This window comes from Homo sapiens, chromosome 5, assembly GCF_000001405.40.
Source record: "Homo sapiens chromosome 5, GRCh38.p14 Primary Assembly".
Lineage (NCBI taxonomy): Eukaryota > Metazoa > Chordata > Mammalia > Primates > Hominidae > Homo > Homo sapiens.
In genome coordinates, this window is record NC_000005.10 from 129,627,524 (window position 1) to 129,654,640 (window position 27,117).

At 34.4% G+C, this 27,117-nt stretch overlaps 1 protein-coding gene across 12 annotated transcripts in view; it reads left to right on the top strand.

Annotated features, from left to right (window-relative positions):
- ADAMTS19 (ADAM metallopeptidase with thrombospondin type 1 motif 19) overlaps positions 1 to 27,117 on the top strand; it is a 278,386-nt gene that overhangs the window by 167,226 nt on the left and 84,043 nt on the right. For all 12 annotated transcript variants that reach the window (XR_007058587.1, XM_047416876.1, XM_047416878.1 and 9 more), the window contains 4 exons: positions 14,336 to 14,437; positions 20,242 to 20,372; positions 21,275 to 21,447; positions 26,783 to 26,910. Coding sequence is in view for 11 of the 12 variants with exons in the window: in XM_047416876.1 (XP_047272832.1) it covers positions 14,336 to 14,437; positions 20,242 to 20,372; positions 21,275 to 21,447; positions 26,783 to 26,910 (534 nt within the window). In the remaining variant the exon portion in view is untranslated. The remainder of the gene's footprint in view (positions 1 to 14,335; positions 14,438 to 20,241; positions 20,373 to 21,274; positions 21,448 to 26,782; positions 26,911 to 27,117) is intronic.

Here is a 27,117-nt window from a genome sequence, read left to right on the forward strand (position 1 = left end):
AAGAGCTCTGCACAGCAAAAGAAACCATCAATAGAGTAAAGAGACAACCTACAGAATGGGAGGAACTTAAACAAATTTAAAAGGAAAAACCGACCCCATTAAAAAGTGGGCAAAGAACAAGAACCGACACTTTCCAAAAGACATGCAGCCAACAAGCATATTAAAAAAGGTCAGTAACACTGATGATTAGATAAATACATATCAAAACGACAATGAGATAACATCTCACACCAGTCAGAATGGCTATTATTAGAAAATCAAAAAATAACAGATGCTGGTGAGGTTGCAGAGAAAAGGGAAGACTTATACACTGTTAATGGGAGTGTAAATTAGTTCCACCATTGTGGAAAGCAGTGTGGCAATTCCTCAAAGAGCTAAAAAAAAAACTACCCATAATTACCATTCAACCCAGCAATCCCATTACTGAGTATATACCCAAAGCAATATAAATCATTCTACTATAAAGACACATGCATGTGGATGTTCACTGCAGCACTGTTCACAATAGCAAAGACATAGAATTAACCTAAATGCCCAGTAGTGACAGTTTGGATAAAGAAAATGTGGTACATATACACTATGGAATACTATGCAGCAATAAAAAAGAATGAGACCGTGTCTTTTGCAGGAACATGGATGGAGGTGGAGGCCATTATCCTTAGCAAACTTATGCAGGAACAAAAAACCAAATACCATTTGTTCTCACTGATAATTGGGAGCTAAATAATAAGAACTCATGAACACAAAGAAGGGAACAATAGACACTGGGGCCTACTGAAGGCTGGAGGGTGGGAGGAGGGAGAGGATCAGAAAAAAATAACTATTGAGTACTAGGCTTAGTACGTGGGTGATGAAATCATCTGTACAACAAACCCCTGTGACATGAGTTTACCTATATAGCAAACCTGTAATATACCCCTGAACTTAAAATTAAAGTATAAAAAAAAATTTTTAAAGCTGAAGACAAGTGGAGCAAAATGAAGGCTGAGATTAGACGGTTGATATTTTTTCCCAAAGGGTTTGACACATCATTATTTGAAGCTATATGGGAATGCCTGAATATATAAGGTGTCAGGAAGTATAACTTAAAAGTATAGCAGAAAATAGTTATAACTGTAGAAGACTGAAAATAGTTGTGCACTATGTAATGACATTTCAGTCAATGGACCACATATACAACAATGGTCTTATAAGATTATAGTCCGTATTTTTACTGTAACATTTCTATGTTTAGATGCACAAATACTTAGGATTGTTTTACAGTTGCCTACAATATACAGTAAGGTAACATGCTATACAGGTTTGTAGCTTAGAAACAATGGGATACACCATATAGCCTAGGTGTGTAGTACGCTATATCATTTAGGCTTGTGTAAGTACACTCAACAATGTTCACACAATGACTACATTGCCTAATGACACATTTCTCAAAATGTATTCCCATCATTAAGCAAAGCATGACTGTAGTTCTGCTACATACATATACACCTTCAATTGGCTCTATGTGGAGTCACCCTACCTGGCAGTCTGTCATCTAAGTGCTATACAAAACAAATCTCCTATATGGTAAGCTCCTTAACATTAGCAGAGTTGTCAGCCCTTTTGTCATTGTATCTCTAGCACCCAAATAAGTGCTCAATAAATATTTGATGAATAAGTGAATCGATTGAATAATGGAGTACTGATTCTAAATTTTTCACTCATGTAGATAACATGATAACCTTTTAGAATATTAATGCAATGACTACATAAAAGCCTACCTATGCTATAGGGCAGGTATCTTGTTTCACAGCTTATTCATAATTCAATTAGGCATCCTTATGACCAGCTCATTTCTAATCAATTACAAATAAACATCAAGATTTGTAGTGTGAGGGTTCACAGCAACCTTCAATATGTATGTTTCAGGCAAAATCTTAAAAACAAGGTAACTCTGAATCTGACAAAGGCAGTTGGGCCATAGCATCTAAATTAGATGTATCACTTCCATACTTATAAACAGATATTTAAACACAAACACTAGAGGCTCAGCATTATTGCATAATGCTGATCTAATTAATGATATAAATTTACCCTTAGGATAACAACTTACATCTGCAAAGTGTTTAAAGGCACAGATGTAGAGATTCTGGTGAAAAATGTTGATCACAGGCAATAATAGCTCACTCTTCTGCATAAATTTGCAGAATTAATGGCTGACTTCTTGGATGGCTTTGTTCCTGAGTCCTAAGCAATTGGTGCTGGGTACCTTTAGGCCATCTGGCATCTTGTGGCTGAGCCAGCTCCAACTGCATCAAGTCATTGTAATAGCTTCCTGAAATTACTTAGACTGGCTAAAAATACAGAGGTATGGAAGGATTTTTCCCTAGAAATAGTAAGAAGTGGCCCCGTAGGAGTTAACCTTTTTCTGAAAAGGAAGGAAGTGTGATAAAACTGAAGACCTCCAGGAAACTTAAGATCCTGTCTTTGTGAACTAGGCACACTATGAATTGCATATGTATTAAATGGATAGAAAAGTTTATAGTATAACTGAATCATATGATTACTTTAAATATTGACATGGAAAGTTCCAGTTTTACATTTCTCCTGTATCTACTTGATTCATCCAAGTTTGTAGGACTCTCTCAAACCTCTCCTTGAAGCCAATGCACAGACTGGAATTGAAATAAAGTAATGGCAGAAACCGCAATTATGTTTGCACCAACCTAATATTATGAAGAACTATAGAAGGCCTAGTCTCTGTAATTTGGCATTGCAAAATTCCAGAGGCAACAAGAATTTGGATTTAAAAAAGGCTTAACATGAAATAGTTGGAGGACATAAACTGCATGATTTAAGACTTACAAAGCTGCAGTAATGAAGACAATGTGGTGTTGACGAAAGGAGAGACTTAACTCCTCAGTGGAACACCATAGAGAGTCCAATTATAGACTCTCACATATGTGTACAATTGATTTCAACAAAAGTAACAAGGCAGTTGAATGGGTAAATAAAAGCTTTTCAACAAATTGTGCTGGAACAATTTGACATTCATCTTTTAAAATTACATCATATCATAAGATAAAATTAACCCTAAATGTATTATTGACCTAAATGTGGAATCTACAAAACTATAAAACTTCAGGGAAAAAGGTAGAGGAAATATTTTTTTTAATAGGACACCAGGAGCATGAACCATAAAAGAAAAACAAAACAGAAAATTATTGTTTGAAATGTATCAAAATAAATTATTTTATCTTAGGAAAACTCTGTTAAGACAATGAAAAGGTAAGCCACAGAATGGGTGAAAATATTTATAATAGGCATATCTGACAAAGGGTTGTTGTCCAAAATATATAATCCCTGTAATAGTAATAAAAGACCAAGCAATACAATAAAATGGGCAAAACATTTCAACAGACAATTCAGAAATGAAGATATGCAGATAGCCAACAAACTCCTTAAAGGATGCTTAACATCATTAATATTGTATCAAGAAATGCAAATTAAAACCATAAAGACCTACATTTGCATATACATTGCAATGTCTTAAGTTTAAAGAATTGAAAAAACTAAATTGTTGCTGATAATACAGAGCAATCAGAATTCACATACCACTATTGGGAATATAGTATAATCACTTTGGGAAAATTTTAGGTTTTTTTTTTTTTTTTTTTTTATCACTTAAGCATTCACCTCTTATATGATCCAAACTTTCCACTCCTAGATCCAAAAATATACTCTGCATGATCTCTTTAAATTTATTGAGACTCATTTATAATCTATCCAGGTGAATGTTCTATATGCATTTGACAGAATGCATTTCCACAGTTGTCAGTGTTTCATAAATATTAATTAGGTCAAGGTTATTAATAGAGTTATACAAATCGTCTTTTATTATGTGTATGGATGTTCTAATAATTGCTAAAGTGGGGAATTTAAATATCCTACTATGACTGCAATTGTCTACTCCCTTCGATTATGTCAGATTTTGATTCATACCTCGTAAGGCTTTATTGCAAGACACTAATACAGTTATTATTGTTATGTCTTCTTGATGCATTATGTCTTCTTATTGCATTTCTTTTCATTATGAAAAAGTCTTCTTTATCACTGGTAGAAGTATAACTTTTTTATATTGTAGTTTATTATATCTGATATTAATCTGATTTTGTGTGTTTATTTTTTTGCATGGTATATTATGCTTTTATTTAGTTTAAATGTATCTGTGTACTATTTCAACTGAGCCTCTTGTAGTATAAGCATGTAGTTGTCTTGATATTCATCTGTTATAAAAATTATAACCTTTTAATTGAGGTAGTTCATTAATGTTTAATCATTGATTAAACAATGTGTTTGAATTTAGGTCTAGATTTTATAATTTATTTTTTAACTCTTTATTTCCCTCTGATCCCCATTAATTTACTTTTATATTATTTGAATTCTCTTTAGGATCCTACTTTATCTATTACATTTTTAGCTATAATCCTTTACCTCTTTAAGAGGCCTGATCTGGGTCTAGGTCTGGGATCACACATCTTTATTTAAAGGGCCAGATAGTAAATATATTAGGCTTGTCAGCAGCAGAGCCTCTGTTGCAACTCAAATCTGCTGCTCTAGCTCAAATCAGCCATAGATAATATGTAATGGGATGAGCAAGACAGTTGGCCAGTCTCCAGGCCACAGTTTGCCAAACTCATCTCTAGGGATTAAAATATAAACTCTCTATTTTTCTGAATCTATTTAGAGTTATTATAGTACTATTTCATTTGGAATTATTGGAATATGCAACCACATATGTTCATTTAGACTTCCTCATTCAGTTTTTCTGTACTATAGTCATGATATATATATATAGATATAGATATAATATAGCATCTGTGTACATTGTAGACCATACAATAAAATTGTATACATTTTACTTAATATACATTGCATGTATTTTAAGGATTAAGAATGTAAAAATAGTCTTTTACTTTTAGCTTGATATTTACCCTTTCCATTGTTCTTCATGACTTCCTGAAGATAGGAGTTTTCCTTTGGTTTCATTTTCCTTCTCCATGTCTTTTAGTTGGGTTGCTAATGACAAATTCTCTTAATTTTCTTTCACCTGAAAATTTTCATTTCATCATAATTTTTGAAATATATTTTCACTAGATATAAAATTATAGGTTGACTTTTTCTTTTTCTTTTACCATCTCAGAAACCTTCCTCTATCTTCTCTTCTCCATAGTTTAAGATGAGAAATGTATAGCCCTTGGATTGTCATTTCCCTGTAAGTAATCTGTTGTTTCTCCCTGTTTATGTGCAAGATAGTCTCTTTATCTTTGGTTTTCAGAAGCTTGACTATAATGTGTCTACATATAATTTACTGCATATTTATCCCATTAGAGGATTGTTGAACTTATTGATTTTGTAAATCTATGCCTTTTCTCAAATTTGGAAAGAAGTTTTAGTGATCATTCCTTTAAATACCTTCCTACCTCTCCATCCTCTCCTGAGAATAGTTACACACATTAATTTTTTTGATATAATCTCACAGCTTTCTGTAAATCTTTCATATTTTTCAATATTTTCCCTTTCTCCTTCAGAGTGGGTAATTCCCTTTAAACTATTTTCAAGCTTACTGAATTTTTATCATTTCCATCCTGCTCAAATCCATTCAGTCAACTTTTAATTTTACATATTGTATTTTTCACATCTAAAGTGAAAGTTTCAATTTACTTTTTTTAAACTTTTCTCTTGAGATATCTTTTCATTTATTACAAGCCAATTTCCGTTACCTCACTAGGTATATTCATAGAGTCAGTTTCAAATTTTATGAAAATCATAACACATGTGTCATCTCAGGTTTGAATTGTTTATTTACATTTTTAAAGAAAGGGTTGCATTTTGCTATTCTACATAGCCAGTAATTTTTACTTCTATACTAGAAATGTTGTTGTTATATTATAGAGCAAACATGAGCAAACTATGGCTTAAAGTTTTACTGGAACACAGTGACACACATTTTTTCATTTATTTTCTATGGCCGCCCTCAAGCTACAATGGCAGTATTGAATAGTTGCAACAGAGACCACCTGGCCAAGAAGCCTAAAATATGTACTATTTGGCAATTTACAGAAAGAGTTTGCTGACCCCTGTTGTAGAGACTCTGGATTCTGTTATATTCCTTCAAAGACTGTTTTTTGTTTTCACAGGCAATTATATTAATTAGATTTAAACTGGAAATTTTGTCTCATCTATTGTAGGCAGCAGCTCATATCTTAGATCAATTCATTTTTCTCTTATCTGTGCTATTTGTAGTGCGTGTTGTGTATGTATGGGTCAGTTGCCAAGGGGAGACTTAAGCTCTTCTAATTCTATTCCCTCTGGAAATCTCCCTTCAGTTTATGGCAGCCTTGACCACCTCAGTTTCCGTCTTCACGAGTCTATAAGATGATATGTTTTTCCAGTTGGCACCTAATGTCAGGACACTCCCTTCAGTTTATGGCAGCCTTCACCACCTCAGTTTCTGTCTTCGTGAGTCTATAAGATGATATGTTTTTCCAGTTGGAACCTAATGTCAGGACACAATAGTGGGCATCTATCAGGTTAAAGCTGCAAAGATGATGAACTAACCTTGTGCCAGTGTTTTCGGTTTCCCTCAAAAGTGTGCCTGCTGAAAGCAATCACTTTCATAATTGCCATGCACAAAAAATAAAATACCTAGGAATACAGCCAAGCAGGGAGGTGAAAGATCTCTACATGCAGAAATAGAAAATACTGCTCAAAGTAATCAGAGATGACACAAATGGAAAAACATTCCATGCTTATGTATAGGAAGAATCAGTATTGTTAAAATGGCCATACTGCCCAAAGCAATTTATAGATTCACTGCTATTCCTATTAAACTACCATTGATATTCATCACAGAATTAGAAAACCTATTTTAAAAATCATATAGAAACAAAAACAAGCCCAAATAGCCAAGGCAATCAAGCAAAAATAACAAAGCTGGAGGCATGATGTTACCTGACTTCAAACTATACTCCAGGGCTACAGTACTAAAAACAACATGATACTGGGACAAAACAGACACATAGACCAATGGAACAGAAGGGAAAACCCAGAAACAAGGTTGCAAACCTACAACTATCTTATTTTTGACAAACCTGTTCAATAAATGGCTCTGGGATAACTTACTAGCCATATGCAGAAGATTGAAACTGGGCCCCTTTTTAGGCCGTACACAAAAATTAACTCAAGATGGATTAGATACTTACATGTAAAACCCAAAACTGTAAAAAACCCTGGAAGACAAACTAGGCAATACCATTCTGGACATAGGAACAAGCAAAGATTTCATGACAAAGACTCCAAAAGCAATTGCAACAAAAGCAAAATAAAAGAGAGAGAGAGAGAGAGAAATGGGATCTAATTAAACTAAAGAGCTTGTGCACAGCAAAATAAACTATCAAGTTTCCACCAAGAGTGGACAGACAGCCTACAGAGTGGGAGAAAATTTTTGCAAACTATGAATCTAACAAAGATCTAATATCCAGCAACAATAGCAAACTTAAGTTTACAAGCAAAAAACAAGCAACCCCAATAAAAGGTGGGCAAAGGACGTTAACAGACACTTCAAAAGAAGACATACATGCAGCCAACAATCATATGAACATCGCTGATCACTAGAGAAATGCAAATCAAAACCACAATGTAATACTGTCTCACACTAGTCAGAATGGCTACTATTAAAATGTCAAAAAATAACAGATGCTGATGAGATGTGGAGAAAAGGGAACACTTATATACTGTTGATGGGAGTGTAAATTAGTTCAACCATTGTGGAAAACAGTGGGGCAATTCCTCAAAGAGCTAAAAACAGAAATAGCATTTGACCAGCAATCCCATTAATGGGTATATACCCAAAGGAATATCAGTTATTCTGTTATAAAGACACATGCATGTATGTGTTTACTGCAGCACTATTCACAATAGCAAAGACATGGAATGAACCTAAATGTTCATCAGTGATAGACTGGATAAAGAAAATGTGGAACATATACATCATGGAATACTATGCAGCCATAAAAAATGAGATAATGTCTTTTGCAGCAACATGGATGGAAGTGGAGCCATTATTATTAGCAAACTAATGCAGGAACAGAAAACCGAATACCACATGTTCTCACTTATAAATGAGAGCTAAATGGACACAGAGGGGAACAACACACATTGGAGCCTATTAGAAGGTGGAGGCTGGGAGGAGGGAAAGGATCAGGAAAAATATTTAATGGGTTCTAGGCTTACTACCTAGGTGATGAAATAAACTATACATCATACCCCCATGACACAAGTTCAGGTATAACAAACCTGCACATGTACCCCTGAACTTAAACGTTCAATTTATTTATTTATTTATTATTTGAGACAGAGTCTTGCTCTGCTGCCCAGGTTGGAGTGCAGTGGCATGATCTCACCTTACTGCAACCTCCAGCTCCCAGGTTCAAGCAATTCTCTTTCCCCAGCCTCCTGAGTAGGTGGAATTATAGGTGCCTGCCACCACGTCTGGTTAATTTTTGTATTTTTAGTAGAGACAAGGTATTACCGTGTTAGCTAGGCTGGTCTCGAACTCCTGACCTCAGGTGATCCACCTGCCCTGGCCTCCCAAAGTTCTGGGATTACAGGCACAAGCCACCATGCTTGGCCAAAAGTTAAATTTAAAACAAAAAGTATGTTGCCTTGGTTCACTCTCCAGAGACTTCAGGAAGTTGTTTTTTGTATTCTGTTCACAGTTTATAGTTGATACCTACAAGAGGGTTGGTTTTTTGAGAAATTAATCCACCATTCCAGAAGGGGAATCTTTTTATCTTAATTCTGTATCATTTTCTTTAAAAATTTAAAATAGGTTCTTCCTTCTTTTTATTGTTTTCTTTTCTTTGAGGGCCTCCATTATATAGATATTAACAGTTCTCCTTTCTTTTAATTTATTTTTATTCCCTTTCTTTAACACTTCCTGATGTAACCATGAAAGAGTCCCTTGCAGCTTGCTGCTTCATGCATTGGCTGTCCATGGGTTACATTTCCCTTTCTATGCCTATCACTCAACTTCTGCCAGTAGCTATGTATGTGGAGTGGAGGAGGTGAAAGAGAGAATGTCAAACTTATTCAGTGGACAGTGGTCAAATCTCCTCTGTTAAAGGATAAAGTTTCTAGGATGTAAATGAGCTAGATTTCTAGCATTTCTTCCCACTAAAATAAGGTTTATAATTAATGTTTAAATCCAATAAGTGTTACATTATGTAGTCAATGTTTATTAAGATTTATCCTCATTTTTATCAGTCTATTTGCTTACCATTGCTTTTCCGTCCTTTCTTATAAAGTCTTATTTCTTTTTCTTAAAGAACATCATTTAGAAGCAACTTTGGGGCAGATCTATAGAAGGTAAACACTCAGTGTTTGTTTCATTGAAAGGGCCTGTTTTTAACCTTCAAACCTGAATAAAATTTTAGCTGAGTTCAGGAGTGTAGATTGACAGATTTTTTTTTCTCTTTTTTGCCTCTTTGAATATATCATAAATTCACCTCCTTACACTGATGTCAAGATGTCATCTTTGCCATGTGCCTAATGTGAAAAGAAAACTTGCCATATTTGACATATTTGCTATAGATTTTCTTAGATGCCCTTTAATTATACAGAAATTAATTTCAATGACTAGTTTGCTAAGATTTTTAAGTGAATGTTAAATTGCATCACATATTTTGTATCCACAGATATAAAAATCATAGATTTTAAGTTATTAATGTGCCGAAGTATATTAATTAAATTCCTAATATCAAACTTACCTGTATTCTGAGGAAGAAAACCTAATTTGGTCATGGATAGATTCAGTCTGTTGAAATTTGTTTAGCATACTCAGCTCTAAATTAATACATGAAGTAGATCACTATTTTTACTTTCTTTTAAAATCCCTCCTAGTTTGGATATCACAGATTTTAGAAGTTGTGCAGGGACATGGATAGAGCTGTAGGCTATTATCCTCAGCAAACTAACACGGGAACAAAAAACCAAATAATGCCAGGCGCGGTGGCTCACACCTATAATCCCAGCACTTTAGGAGGCCGATGCGGGCGGATCAGCTGAGGTCAGGAGTTCAAGACCAGCCTGGCCAACTTGGCAAAACCCTGTCTCTACTAAAAGTACAAAAATTAGCGGGGCATGGTGGCGGGTGCCTATGATCCCAGCTACTTAGGTGGCTGAGGCAAGAGAATCGCTTGAACCCGGGAGGTGAAGGTTGCATTGAGCCAAGATGATTGTGCTACTGCACTCCAGCCTGGGTGACAAGAGCGAGACTCTGTCTCCAAAACAACAAGAACAACAACAAACCAACTACCACATGTTCTCACTTACAAGTGGGCACTAAATGATACGAACTTAGGAACACAGAGAAGGAAACAACAGACCCTGGGGCCTACTTGAATGGGGAGGGTGGGAGGAGGGAAAGGAGCAGAAAAGGTAATGATTGGGTACTGGGCTTAATACCTGGGTGATGAAATAATCTGTTCAGTAACCCCCTAGGAAACATGTTTACCTGTGTCACAAATCTTCATATGTACCACTAATCCTAAAGGAAAAGTTAAAAAGAAGAAGTGATGCTCTCTTTTTCTGTTCTCTAGAAAGTTTCTCTGTGTTGAGAATCTAAGTTCCTTGAAAGAGTGTTAGTCTCTGGACAGGTGTATTTTTGTGGGAAGATTTTTAACAGGCTTAACTATTCTGTGATTATAGAATTGTTCACCTTTTCTATTTCTTCTTGGTTTCACTTTAGTAAATTTTTAGTTTCTATTTTTCAGTTTCATATACTTTTCAAGTGTATTGGCATAGACTTAATTATAATGTCTATTTTCTGTTTGAACTGTTATCTTTTATGCCCTCATTTGTTATTCCTAATAGTATTTATTTTTGCCTTCTCTTTTTGCTTGATTAATTTTCAATTATATTAGTCTTTATAAAGAATTAGAATTCAGCTTTATTTTCCCTTTTGAGTCTTTGTTTCCTATTTTAGTACTCTCTGTCTCACACACACACACATACACACACACACACACACACACACACAAGCTATTCTAATAATTATAATAAAGTTCTGTTATTAGAAAAGAATGTTTCTAAAATTTTATTTTATATCTGAATTTCCTTTGCAATCTGTTAAGTTATTGAAAATGTATTGTAGAGAGTAATGCAGGGAAAAGAAGGTAGTTATATGTCCAAGGATTAATTATTACTTCAATGCATACGCAGTTAAAATTGTCTTATTTTAACATAAATTTCAGAACATCTTAATGGAACTATTTGCTATAAAGAAAGGCATGGGCACAGGTTAGCTCTGAAGATAAATTTTATAATATTTGTACAGGACAATTAACCTTCCATTTCAATACATAGTACATTTATGTAATATTTAAAAACCTATTTGAGATAAACATCCAAGTACATATTATATTCTTTTAATAAACTCTTTTTACTATAGAAGCATAACAAAGGAATATCGTATTATTTTTATTAGTTTGCGAGAAAATGCTGGGTTTTGCATCTCTGTTGTGGATTCCTATGCCAAGCATTTTAAGTTATAGAGTTATTTTCGTAACTGACCTATTAAGTGGTTTCAGCAACTAAGTTGAAAAAAATATTTGACCCTTGCCTGTGTAACATATGGACAGTGTTTGTCTCTAATATAATACCCGTAATGCCCCATTCTGCCCTTTAGAAAGGGCTTGCTGTTATGTACCTCTAATGTGACATATCTGAGGTATTCCACTTTTCAAGGTGAAAACTATCCATACTATTTCTTCAACATTTTCTTGCCTTACTTGTGGGATTTTGGTTTGAACTTCTAAATCTGAGTTATTTTTAAGACCGAGGCTGTAATTTATTTACCATAAGATCCCTAGACCTGCAGAACAGAAAGGGTAAAAGACATCTCTGAGAGAGATTTTATTCTACGTGACCATGCTTCTTTTGAAAAGCTGCCAAGTTTGCTTGTATGCTCTGAGTGTCTCAAGTGGGAATCAATGAGAGTACCTGCCGTTTCAAATAGCAGCAGATAATGGTGGAAGGGCAGAATGTAGACCACCAACAACGTTCAACAAGCAAGCATTATTCCAAAACTACAGTGTAGATTTGCTTTTTCAGTTCAGTATGCATTGGTTAACTAATGAACTTGAATAAAATAATTATTGTTATGAGATAACTAAGTTTTATTAAATGCAAGTAAAGAAAAATTCTTCTTTGAATTTTCTTCTAAAGAAAAATCAACATTTGACCCCATAATTATCAAACATCCTTGACAGAAAGTTCCTAGATGGGTGAAATATTTTTAGAATCAAAAATGCTCAGGTTAGACATCTGTTAATTGAAATACTCTTAAATGTCTCCACAAAAGTACATGAAAAACAATTGAACTCTTTGCCTATTTTCAATAGTTTAAAATATTACAAAGGGGCAATATGATTTATAGGCATTCTTTACAATAATTTTCTAGGTGAATTTTTGGTAAATGCTATGGGCAGTTAGAAGAAGCACACTAGTTAAGCTAAACCATATCCTAAATATAATAAGATATATTTGTGTGACATATTTTGAAGCTGGAAAAAAAGTCACAGAAAAGAAAATAAGGTAAATTAAATATATCTCACTCTCTCCATAGACTTGAATTTCATTGGATCTGTCATTTCTTTGTGTTAGGAACATTTCAATTTCACTGTTAGATATTTTGAAATATACAGTAAATTGTTGTTAAAAAAAGCTTACAAACAGTTCAGAAATCTAAAGTATAGGAAAATAATATTTTGGGATTTGCAACAAAGTAAGTATTAGGGTAATTAAATATTAATATATTGAAAGAATGTATGTTTCAAATAGGTCTGTTACAATTTAAATATATTCTTCAAATATATCTAATAGATTTGGGTCATAAGTTGACTTTAATTTTGCTGTGATTTTTAGTCTATTTTGAACACCAACACCAGAATAAGTTTCCTAAAATAACCTATTATCTTATCAATCTGCTGCTGGTCAACTGCTAAATGGCTTATTTTTCCCTACAAACATAAAGTCCCTAGTCTTTCCTGGCTCTTCTGTCTTTTCAGCCTTGTTCTTTACTACTCTCCCCCATGATATTCCTACTCCCTTTGCACCAGTCTGCTCACCTTTTCATAACTATGCCTTCCCCATTTCTACTTGTTCTGTCTTTATTGACCTGTTCTCCTCCACTCTCTTCTCCCAGTATCTGGATAGGTAGTAACACAGTCATCTTCACTACAGATTTAATACTCAACTTACTTTTTTTTTTCTTTTTTGAGACAGAGTCTCACCCTGTCACCCAGGCTGGAGTACAGTGGCACGGTCTCAGCTCACTGCAACCTCTGCCTCCCGGGTTCAAGCAATTCTCGTGCCTCAGCCTCCTGAGTAGCTGGGATTATGGGTGTGCACCACCACACTCAGCTAAATTTTTAAGTCACTTTTAAATGTCCTTTATGGATTTCATATTTCTGTACAATTGTTAACAATATGTGTGAGTCTAAAAAATGTCAACCACCTTACAGAAATAGAAAGTCTTTATTAATATGTGTGTTGGCCTCTTCATATCTATGTCTCTGAGCTGACCACAATTATAGCTGTCTAAGGTTTTTGACAATTTTTCTTTTACATTTCCTCAGAGTTATCTTTGCTTATTGTTGCCATGTTTCAGCTGCCTTATCCAAGTATTTTTTATTCCCTTTAACATTTCCGTAGAAAAAATTTCATTGTGTTCTGAAAATGTAAAAATCCTTCATACTGAAGTAAAAAGTACTGATAACAATTTACAGAAACATACACACTAAGACTATATTGTGTCAGGGGTCAAGACTATATAATGAATTAATAAAGTACTAACCATGGCATTTAAGCATAAAAGCAGAGCATAAGTGGGAATAGACCTTAGGGCAGCAGACACTGAATTTATAACACAAAAACAAACACTTATTCTTCCAGCCTGGTCCATGTGTCATAGCATATAAATGATGATTTCTGTCTTAATTTTTTCTGTTGTATCTACATCATCTTGTATAACCATATGTGTTTTATTTAAGGAAGTTTTAAAAGATTTAACTTTATGAAATAGATTTTTCTATCATTATGTATCAATCTTCCCATCACTATAAATGAGCCCTATACTATTTCAATTACAGATTTAATATTTTAATTACCTAAAGCATATTTTTCTTCAAATAATTTTTGTTATTCTATCAAAATAGCTTTCTTAACAATGATTGGCTTCACTTAAAAAAATGTGATACCTTCCCCTTATTAGTTATTGTGCCTTTGTTTTCAGCATGTTATTTGCACAGGATTATGGTGCAAGGTAGAAGGTGAGAAAGAATGCAGAACCAAGCTAGACCCACCAATGGATGGAACTGACTGTGACCTTGGTAAGGTAAGTCATTTGTGTTGTCTGAATTTAATGAGCATACTAGATGAAACTTGAGAATCTTGCATTTTCTCTGCCAGTTACATTTGTATTCATCTTAGCACTGATGGAATAATAACAGTATATACAAAAATATTAGTATTTCATCAGTTTTAACATTTATACTTTTTAAAATCCATGGTTGTTTTGTTAATATCAATGTGGTGAGGTTTTATTTTATTTGTTATTTTATTTGTTGTGAGAATGTTGAGAGTCATATATATGCATTAATATAGCAAAAATGTGAATTTTTTTACTTTTTAAACAGAAGTAAATTAAGCACAAATAATAGCATAAATGGTAAAATTTCTCATTGCCAATGGATCTTTTCAAGTATAAAATAATTGACTTAGGAGAGCAACTGAGTATTTTTTCTTTGTCAATATAATAATCATCCATAAAATATTCCAGTTGACATTTGGAGATTAGTAAATATTTGGCTGTCTGTGTAGTTTAATGTACTTCATAAGGCTTTAAAAATTTGTTAGTATACATTTCCAGATCTAAATAACTGCTTTTGAAAATTAATTTTCCTTTGAGGAATATGAAGAAGATGGATTTCACATGTATTTAATAATTATGGTTAACATAATCAAAAGATAACAGATCAATAGTTTACATAATTTTCTAATTTGCATACTGTGATGGGAAAGTAGAATTGTTATCACTGTACTCAATTGTTAAGATCAGAAAGCTTGCCTCTGAAGAGCATGAATGTGTATTACATTTGAAAATAAATAGCAACGTAAAGAACCTATAGATTTCTTATGGTGAAATACTTGAAGAAAACATGAAATTAGGTGGAGTTTTATTTTAAAAACATATCGATTTGAAAAATGGACAGAAATGAAGCTATTAACTTCTAGAAATTCGTCTTAAGAAAGTACACACACAGACGCACCTACACACACTCACACATGCACACACAGATGCTTAGGCAAGGATGCAGTTTGTAATGGTGAGAAGTGAGAAACAATAAAAATATTCATTAGGAGACAAATGGTCACAATGTAGTTGTTAAAAAATGAGGGAGATACATATGTTCTAACCTGAAGAGATCTATAAGACATGGCTGTTAGTTGATAGGCATGTCAGAAATTTTGATACTTTACAATACAGTTTGACATTTAAGGAAAACACAGTGTGTATACAGATGTGAATACACACACAAAAGCACACACACACACACACACAAGTATATATTTTCAAACTCATAAAATTAGCTAGGCTTGGTGGCACATGTCTGTAATCCCAGCTACCCAGAAGGCTGAGGTGGAAGGATTGCTTGAGCCTGGAAGGCAGAGGTTGCAGTGAGCCGAGACTGCACCACTGCACTCCAGCCTGGGCGACAGAGCCAGACCTTGTTTCAAAGACAAAAAAAAAAAAAAAAAAAGAAAAAAAAAAGAAAATATAAACACAAAACTCCAAAGTGTAATTAGAAGTTACCTCTTGGGAGGGAAGTAGAATTGATGGATTGATGGCTGGGAGTACATCAATGAGAGGGATGGGTGAATATAACTTTTCTGCAGCCATTTCTGGATTGTTTGACATAAGCATGCAGTGATTTATTACTTCTATGATTTCTTTAATTAGAAAAGAAAAAATGTACAAATTGTTTAAATCCAAACTATTTTTGAAAAAAAACTAGAAATATTTTATCACTATATATTATCAATAAGAAAATGATTCCTTAGAGGGAATTTCTGTGAAATATCAGTTAATTGTTTACAGACTGTGCCAAATATTTCCTATAAGCTTAAACAAAGCATCAGAATTTGGGTCTGTTTTATTTTTTAAATATATACACAAAAGTATAAGAACCTGTGTATATCAAGCAAGTCTCCTGATATTGTGCTAATTTATTGCTTGAATCATAAAACTTTGCACCAGCAATCATTTTTATCATCCCTGAAACACAAAAGCAGTAATATTAAGAGATAACCAAACATACTGCGATGAGCCCTCAAACATCACATAGCTTGTTTGTCTTTAGTTTTTTAGCAATATAAAAATATCTTTATTTTTATATCTGGCACCTTCAATATTTTTCTGCTATGATTTTTTCCCTTGTATATATAAACATAATTTGCAATCTTGAAATCTTTAAAGTAAACTTATTTTGGCAGTTAAAACTGTAATTACTAAACAAAAGTAAAAAGTTTTATTTTCCTATAATTGTGTTAATGATAACTCTCTTAGAGGTTCTGTAATGCTTTGTATATTGAAATAACTAATGAACCTCTCAGTTTTCCAGGCCATGTGGGCTTCTTCAAATATTCATCTGTTTCAGCTCTTTTAGAAGCCATCGTGAAAATAGCTTCCAACACTCTGCCATTGTGTGCAGTAGTGCTAAAATATTTGAATGCTTGCAACCTCACACCAAACACTGCAAGCTCAATACATTGCTAACCAAGAGACAAAGCTTGGGATTTTGTAACTGATAACACTCTAGTGATATTAATCAAACTGTATAAATCTAGTTAATCTAAGAGTATATAATTACATCTGAGAAGGTGCTTACAGAATTCTATGCTTCTGAATGATTTTGAACAAAGAGGTTTATATACTCTTTATGGACAGCATAATGCAAATTGAAAACAACTTGTTTTCTTCTCTTTTTATAATTTTTATATAATTTTCATATTTTTCAATTTACAATACAAATATCAATGTGTTGGCATTTACATTTCAAAGAGATTAAGTAGTGGGCAAATGATTTATTCAAAAATAATAAATGTATGTATTTTACTTACAGTACTTACTAGAAATGAAAAGAGCGGAAAGAGACATTAAATACCAATTTACTAGAACCTTAGACTGTTTGGAAGGATTCTATGTAATATATTTTAGTTATTTATTTTCCCAAATTGAGAATCTTGAAATTACCATCATAATTTATTATTGGAAACAATGAAGACTGTAATATCCTAACAGTCACAATGTGCATATGTACACAGCTTTTTCCCTGCCTTCCTCCTCTTCTCTCTTCCACAATATATGTACAAGATTTGATCAGAGACTGTTCAGGCTCCTTTGACATCTTCACAGACCCCTTTCAAATGTGTGTTTTCATGAACTTCCTATACATGTCCACATAAAAATTTAGGAGTATAGAACTATAATTAGTGTGTTGGGTCATGCACTGTCCCCAGGTGGTCTATATTACATAATCCCTTAGTACTTTTATAAATCAGATTGAATTAGTAGATAAGACAATTTTTTAGTGTTTTCAACAATACATAACTTCTTTTTTGAGGCTAAAAAATGCAAACGTTGTATGAAACAAATCATGCTGCTCTCCATAATATCCCTAATGATATTTATGGAAAGCATCATTGGGATTATTTTACATATAATCTTATATAACATATTGTATAATAGTTTAAACAAAACATTTAACACTTTCCTCATTGTTGAAGCACAGAACCATATAGAAGACACAAAAGCAGGTACCCTCTAGCTTCATCCAGACATCTGGTTATCTGCAAGGTGACAAACTTTAAATACTATGCTGTAGTACTTTCTTCAAATTTCACTGATGTGTATATGCAAATAGGTTTGCATTTCTGTATCCATTTCTCTTCATCAGCCAGATGTGTCATTGTTTAAATGATGTACAAATCTGGGTCCCAGTGATTTCCAGAATATTTTAGTCTGTTATGAACTCTAGCCCAGTCTTTCAATGCCAGCTTGCTGCTAAATGGCCAAGGAGGTATGATATGCACTCTGGGAAACATAAACACCCTTAAAGTAGGCTAAAACAATGTGACCAATTGAAGTTTGACAACTTTCACATTGAATTTTTTTTTCCATGAATGGCATAACTTTTTTAAGTCCTTAAAACAAGTAAGTAATGTAGAAGTTTTCACATGGTTTCTTTCTCCTTTTCCAATTTTTTTTTTTTTTTTTTTTTGAGACGGAGTCTCGCTCTGTCGCCCAGGCTGGAGTGCAGTGGCGGGATCTCGGCTCACTGCAAGCTCCGCCTCCCGGGTTCACGCCATTCTCCTGCCTCAGCCTCCCAAGTAGCTGGGACTACAGGCGCCCGCCACTACGCCCGGCTAATTTTTTGTATTTTTAGTAGAGACGGGGTTTCACTGTTTTAGCCGGGATGGTCTCGATCTCCTGACCTCGTGATCCGCCCGCCTCGGCCTCCCAAAGTGCTGGGATTACAGGCGTGAGCCACCGCGCCCGGCCTCCTTTTCCAATTTTTAAACTGCATCTTTGTACAAAATCCAAATTTATTTAATGAGAATCTTAGAATATTGATATTCTCTGAGTTGTTGATCTTTATTTTGTTTTTCAAGTTTAGATTAAAAACTTTTTGAATCTAAAAGAGGTTGAATTTAAATGTTGACATTATTAGAGAAAATCTACAGAGACTAATTATTTTATGGCCTATAAAAGTAAAGCACTAACAGGGCCCACACAAAACTATATGGTATAGTTTTAATTCTCTTTTCTAAAAACAGCAATAAAAACATATTATCAAGTAAATTCTAAAAACAGATGAATAAATATCAGAATGAACAGAATTTTGCTTAGATTTCTGAAATTATTAACATAATGATACTTATAACTCTATTATTATTACAGTTAGCCCTTATTAAATCCTTAGTAAGGGCTATACATTGTGTTTAGTCTTTCATTCAATTCCTAAAAAAAACTGTTAGGTAACTATGATTATCATTCACATTTTAGAAATGAGCAAGCTGAGAATCAGAGCATTTCTGTAATTTCCTCAAAATCCTTTGTAAATTGTGTTGCCATTAAGTGTAGAAGTTCATTTAGGGCTAGGAGGATCAACTTACTCAACCTCATCGTTATACAATCACTAATCTAAATGCTTGTAATCTTACTTATTATTCTCAATATGATTTTGTTACTCTTACCATGTTTGCTACGACCATCATCTATTTGATTTTCAGGAATGAGGAGAAATTTTAATAACCTGTCCCCCAAATTCTAGCAACCATTCCTGGGTGACCATCAGCAATCTCTCTCATTGCTTTTGTTTTCAGTGAATGAAAAAATAAAATAAAAATAAAAAAGAGAATGACTACACTTCTTTCTCTTATTCCAGTTATCTTTACCAGTTAATAGATACCAAGTAAAGTATAAAATAATTGGCATGAAATAACAGAATTTCAGCATCTAATTGCCCACGTCTTTCAAACCAACTTGCTGTAATGTTAATGTTTGAACTTGATGGGAATTCTTTCAGAAAAAAAAAAAAAAAAAAAAGCATAAAGGAAAGTGCTAAAATCAAACAGTACTTTTTAAAAACTACAAGTTAAAAAAGTACCCTGAGTCACTGACATTTCATACGAAAATTACTAAATTTGCTAAAAATGTCTGCTTTGACGTAGGACATTTATTTCTTGTTTCCATTCTTATATATTACTCTGATTTTTTTGTCCCTTTTAAATTATTATCGGTTTCTTAAATGTGTTGGATTTTCTTTCCTGGTTGTGCAACCTCAGATTCCCTACCCATAATCTTTACCCTGTCTCCATCACAAAAACTGAATTCTTAGGGCTATAGTAACAAATATCTGCGCACTGCTTTCCCAACAAGACTGTATCTGTGAGAACTGGGCAATTATATTACTATGACAAAAAACAAGTGCCAACTTATTTTTGGTCTTTCCTAATTCCCCATGTTTGTGGCTCTAGTAGACCTGATTTAATTGCAATTCCAGTGACATTATAGGCCAGCGAATGATTTTCAGTTGTGCCCTGATTTGTTCACCTAAGACATAACTTTTGGAATAGTGGTGTAAGGCTGGAGAATGTACCAGCAGGACCTCAGCACCTGAACATCTGGCCGGAGAGTGGAGCCTGTGGAGTCCTTGTAGCCGAACCTGCAGTGCTGGGATCAGCAGTCGAGAGCGCAAATGTCCTGGGTAAACTCAAAGTTCCTGGTTGGGGGAGGGCACTTTTCAATTTTGGAATGCAAAGGTTTTACTGATAAAGCATGTTGGAAAGCAAAAGAAGCTCCTCAAACTCTACTCACGTTGGAAAACAGAAAAGTCCTTCAAATTATTTATTTTATATAAAAACTGCCTTTAAGAAGAAAATAAAGACCAACCCTTCTAAGAATAAGTAATGAAAGCTATAAAAGGTTATTTCTTGAGTAAATCTATAAAATATTTCAATAAACAGGAAGATGTGTATTAGAAAAATTATGTGAACATTTACAGGAACTGGGAGAAGAGCAGAAGGATGATAAGAAAGAGAATGAGAACAAAATTAATGACAGCAAAAGCTAAGACTAACGAAAAACAGAAACATGCTAAGCACAGGTACAGACAGGAATTATTATGGGATCAGCTTGTTCAACCCCATTATTCCTAGAGGAATTCTAGCAAAGTATGAGAAAGTCATTCCAGCTTGTGAGCTTTAAACTCTATTGGTGTAGAGGTCACATGCAGTCTTAAAGAATTTATATGAATTTATGTAAAAACACCTCCTTAAAAATTCTAAGAACCAAATTTCTTAATGGGCATTTGAAGGCTTTCTATTTTCCCTTCAGTTTCTGCCCTTTACTCTAATGTATCATTTTCATGGCAAGTGGGATTTTATTCCTCATATATTTTGGAAGGTATATTGATCAAGGATTAGAAAATATATATAGTTAAAGAAATAAATATATGAATTTGCTACTACTATCATTTAATGTGTCCAAGTTTTCAAAAGTAAATATAATATAAGGGGTTATATATTATTAATATAATGGCTTTTAATTTAAAACCTAGGTAGTTAACATAAAAAACATAAAATTGATTATTTGTACTTTCTTTTCTAGGCTAGATTCTGAAGCAAGGGATTGTAATGGTCCCAGAAAACAATACAGAATATGTGAGAATCCACCTTGTCCTGCAGGTTTGCCTGGATTCAGAGACTGGCAATGTCAGGCTTATAGTGTTAGAACTTCCTCCCCAAAGCATATACTTCAGTGGCAAGCTGTCCTGGATGAAGGTATGACCAACCAGATCACCACCATCTTTGTTAACTAGATTTCTAGGTTTGCGAAGTGTTTTTACAATAGTCAGATTATTTTACCTATTATCTTCAAAATATTTCTGAACTTTAATTTTTTCTACCTGTATGGACATATAATAACCACAAGCACTGACAAAAATATATTTTAAAAATATGAGGAGCTGTTACCCCATACCTATTAGAACAACTAAAATACAAAGCAGTGACAACACTAACTGCTAGTGAGGATAAGGAGAAACTGGATCTCTCAGGCATTGCTTGGTGGGATTGTAAAATCGTGCAGCCACTTTGGAAAATATAGTTTGACAGTTTTGTAAATAACTAAACATACACTAACAATACAGAAATCATACTCCTGAGTGATGGAATACTCCTCAGCACTAAAGAGGAGCAAACTATTAATACATGCAACAACCTGATAGATCTCAGAGCATTATGCTGAGTGAAAAATGCCAATCTCAAAAGGTCCCATGTTATGTGATTTCATGTGATAATATTCTTGAAATTATAAAATTATAGAGATGGAAAACAAATTCATACAAATTAGTGGTTGCCAGGGATTAGGGATGGTGGTGGGGAGAGGGATGGGTATTACTATAAAGGGGTAGAATGAGGAAGATCTTTGTGCTAATGAATAGTTTCAGACCTTGATTGCGGCAGTGGTTGCACAAATCTACAAATGTGATAAAATGGCGTACAGCTATACACACACAGGTACAAATGCCAGTTTCCTGGGTTTGCTGTAGTTCTATAGTTGCTCAGGTATAACCATGGGGAGAAACTGAATGAAAGGTAGGTGGGAACTCTCTGTACTATTTCTGCAAGTTATTCCAAATATTTAATTATTTCAAAATAAGAATTTTAAGAAAATTGTATGCTGCCTTATTAGTTAAGAATGATATGCCAAGCAAGGTGGCTCACACCTGTAATCTCACCATTTTGGGAGGCCAAGGCAAACAGATTGCTTGAGCTCAAGAGTTTGTAACCAGCCTGGGCAAGATGGCAAAACCCTGTCTCTACCAAAAATACAGAAAAAAAAATTAGCTGGGTGTTGTGGCATGTGCCTGTAGTCCCAGCTACTCAGGAGGCTGAGGCAAGCCCAGGAGGCAGAGGTTACAGTGAGCCAAGATGGTGCCACTTTACTCTAGCCTGGGTGACAGAGTGAGACCCTGTCTCAAAGAAAAGAAAAATGATAATACTTGCCCATGGTGAGTGGGCTGTGGGTGTGGGCTGAGTTGCAGCCACCAAAAGTGGTGACAGATCATCTGATTTCATTGGTTATGATGCCACTAGTCTCTCTTTTCTCCCCTTAGTCAATTTGAACTTTGCTTTCCATCATTCCAGTTACACTCTTCTCAATAACCTAAACTCCATTGCCTGTCCATTTCAGTGCCCCCATCTGATGAAACCCTTTTCTCACAGTAGCACCTACATACAAGCACTAATGGAAACAGCCAAACAATAGGGCAGATTATTCCACTACTAGTGGTGGTGGGGGGAAATATAGCAGCCACCAGATTACCTCCTTATTTTCTGCTATCAAGACACGTTAGCCTAACGTAGGATACTTCATCTGCTTTCTGCTATATGGCAGAATTTTAATTCCTCCTTTCCAAGGCCAGTCCCTCCAGTTGTGGCCTTGATGCCATCCCCATCTTCCTCTTTCAGCTATCTTATTGATTACCCCCACTTTCTCTCATATAGTTAATCTTCTCTGTTTTGGATCATTCACATTTAATTTTTTAACATATTTAAGACTCTCCCACTAAAACATAAAAACTTCCCCTCAAGATCATAGCCATCTTGAGCTGGTGCACCTACATGTTTCTCTCCTCACAACCACCCTTCTCAAAAGACCTGCCTATATCCCAGCCCTTTGTGTTTTTCCCTTCAATCTGGATTCCACCAACACAAGTCTTTCTAATGTCATCCAGGAGTCTCATGGAAACAAAACCTAATAAATAGTTTCCCATCCTCTTCTTAGTTGACTCTTAAATACATTAAGGTGGCTGCCCACCCCCATGGTTCTTGGAACACTCGTGTGCCCTGCTTGGTTGCTGTGTTGTTAACACCTACCCGGCTTTCCTACTACATCTCTGGTATGTTCTCCTTCTGCCTACTTCAAACACTATTCTGTTTTCACTGTGCATTTTCTTTTTAGGTGATATTATCTATTCCTATGACTTCAAATATGCAAATAATACATGAGTTTACGTCTTCAACTAGATTTTCCATTTGAGCTCCAAACTTGTATGTACAACTCCCTTGTTGATATATCTAATTGGATATCTGCAGGTTTAAGACCAAACTCATGATCATAACCCTTCCTATTCATGTCCATTTGATCCTCTTTAGTGTGTCCCATATCATTGAAGGTAACACTTGCTTTTCAGTTGCACAAACTTGATCACCTGATTTATAAGGATATTTCTGTGTCCTGCCCCCTTTAACTTCTCCTGCCTCATTTCCATCATTCTCTTTTATAGAATCCTATATGGCCAGGCTGACTTCCATTCCACCCCTTAGATACATCTGCTCTCTTATTTTTGGGCCTTTATACCAGCTGGGTTTTGACATAATAGGCTTTCCTTCTCAAGCTTTGACATCGTTCTTTATTTATTTACCTTGAACACTTCTGCTGATTTTGGGGTTCAGTGTATGTCAGTTCCTCTAGGAAGAAAGAATCCCTCTGATCCTCCAAATTATGTGTCCCTTCCAAGTACCACACACACAACCTGTAATAGCACATTTTATTGTGTCTGCATTCCCTCTAATGTCTGTCCCTAGTGTATCATCTACTGTATATTAAGTGTCCAATGAATATTTGTTAAATAAATTTGAATACATAGCCAGTAACTTTTTATTATAAAAATATAATCAATATGACTGTTCACATCATGAAAATTTTCTGATTATTTGAATGTTAATCCTGTCTCTACTTCCAACTGGCTGTGACAGTTAATAATGTCAAGTTTATTTGAAACCCATTTACTTACGTGTGAAATAAGAGATAGAAAATAGGTGTTCTCCAAATTAAAAAAAAATCAGAGTTGGATGGGCATGAATTTAAAACACTAAAGCTGTTAGAAATCACAATTAAAGGAACTTCTGACTCTTACAAAGTGATGTATATCATCAAAATAATCCACAATACCTATTTGTATAATCAGCAGGTTACCATTTGTGATGATTTTGCAACACGTATCAATCAAACTCATCAGTCTATATTTCAAATAAAATATACAACAGTCACTAGCCTACATGTATTATAGCGCTGTGGAAGAAATGGAAATACACAATTCTTTTAAAAACATGTGACACCTTAAAATACAAGTGGCTGTATCTGTTATATAATACTTGAATCCCTGCCTAGGAGAATTAAATGTGGGGTAGCAATGCAGCAGTGAACATTTATTTTTAGAGAAAAGACATGCATGGCTTCAACATTCAGGTATTTCACATACTTTGTGTGTGCCAAAATTTGGCTGAAATCCATGTCTATTGCATATCTTGGAAAGAGTTGGTCTCTTAAATCAAGACAGAACCTGCCTGCCAAGTATGGCATGTTACATGGATCACTACAGTGTCACAGCCTTGAGGGTATACTCCAGAAATGAAGAGTGGTATCAAATGTTTATGTCATCTGTACAGCTAAAGTCAGCAGAGTGTGTTGGCAATATGTTTTAAAAGGAGAAATAAAAAGATTTTTATCTGAATTTTTGCTTGGAATATGAATGGAATTTTCTAGGAGACTAACTCCTTTCAATATTATTTATTCATATATCTGGTTTGCTCTTCTCTTCAATGAAAACTCCAGAAAGAGCATTATATATACCACTTTTAAAGTGTTGCAATTATAGCAGCTGTTTTTAAGTTCAAAGATATGACATAGTAAGCAGTCATTGAATAAACATAACCTACTTTGAGGTGTGAGAGCACACGGAAATGCTTTATTGCGGCTTATAATGGCATCTTAAAGGAAAATTTCAAAACCATGCACATTAAAGGCCATGTTCCAACTCCCCAAAATTGTTGAGAGCAGTATTCAGAAGCCACATGTGAAAACTGTTTGAAATGTTCACTTCTGAAGGTTCATTTAACTGTCTGTCTTCTCTTTGCAAAGTGATACCCTGTTCCATGCCTCTGGCTGTTATTTGGTATTTATAGAATCCCATCAGCATACGTGGAACTTTACTGAAGACATAAGGGAAGATCAGTGTCAGAGACTTTAAACTTTTTTCCATTCTATTTATATAAGCTTAATAAACAGTAAAGGACCTGACTGGCATCAAGCCAATAGAGTAGTAATGTAGCATGGAAATTGCTCTGACGTTTCAGATTTGGATAATAGTATTACTAGTGTTACCAAATACTGCAGCTCCTCTGTAGGAGGCTTAGAAATGGACATAGCACTTTAAAAATATCGTGCCACTTTCTGAGCCTAAAAGGCAAGTGTTTTAACCCCAAACATCCTATCTGATTGCTCAATGATGCACAAAGAAGACTCGCAGCTGCTTAGGAATTATTTACCTGGAATAAAAGTTCTCAACCTAGATATCGTACACAACGACATGGTTTCTGCATAAGTAGTGAAGGGGACAGAGTTCTCACTAGCACATCAGCAGTTGCGCATAACTATGGATGCTCTCATGGGATGGTATTGCATTTCAAAACAATATTTCTGTTGCATTGTAGTAACAATCCTAGTAACAGAAATGTTTTTTACAAATGCAATTCTTACTACAATCCTAGTAACAGAAAATTTCATGAGAATTCTCATCTTAGAGGCTCTTCTTTCTCCCTTTAGACATTTTTTCAATTAGAAAATGTCAACTATATAGAAATAAATACTAGCACATTGAAATTTAGAAGTAAGACATCAATAAATAATTCAAGCATGAAGTAAATCTTAACCAGGACTTAAAGACAGGTAGAATCCTGGTGTCTACTAAAGATGAAGAGGATATCATTTCAAAAAAAATATGAGCATAAAATTGGGGTGTGCCAATATTATTCAGGGAGGAGGTCTGGATTGTGTGTGCTAGATATGTTCTGCCATAAAATAACAAATGATACATTTTAAGGTAATTTGAAGCCAGATTTCTTAGAAGATTAATATTCATTAAACATCTCCAGGCACCTAATTTATTGCACATAGAAATCTTCTAATGTTATCTACTCTAACATTACATTACTTAATTAGCATTGAATTATATTTTTTACTCAATAACGATTCTTAAAAATGAAGCTTAAGATAAAAATATTTATGGGGTAACTTTTTCTCATTTCTTTTTATCTACTCTGTATGTAGAAAAACCATGTGCCTTGTTTTGCTCTCCTGTTGGAAAAGAACAGCCTATTCTTCTATCAGAAAAAGTGATGGATGGAACTTCTTGTGGCTATCAGGGATTAGATATCTGTGCAAATGGCAGGTGCCAGGTAAGACATTCCAAAAAAAAAAAGAATTTATATGTTGAAGGAAAATTGTGGGACCACTGAGCAGCTTCACAGCATGGTGGAAAGCTTTGGACTTAGATTCAAAAGATGTTGCTATAGTCCTGCCTTGACTGTGACCTTGAGCAAGTCTGATTTACTTTGAAACCTCATTTTTCCATCTGTGTAATAATGGGTTTGACTTGGTACTCC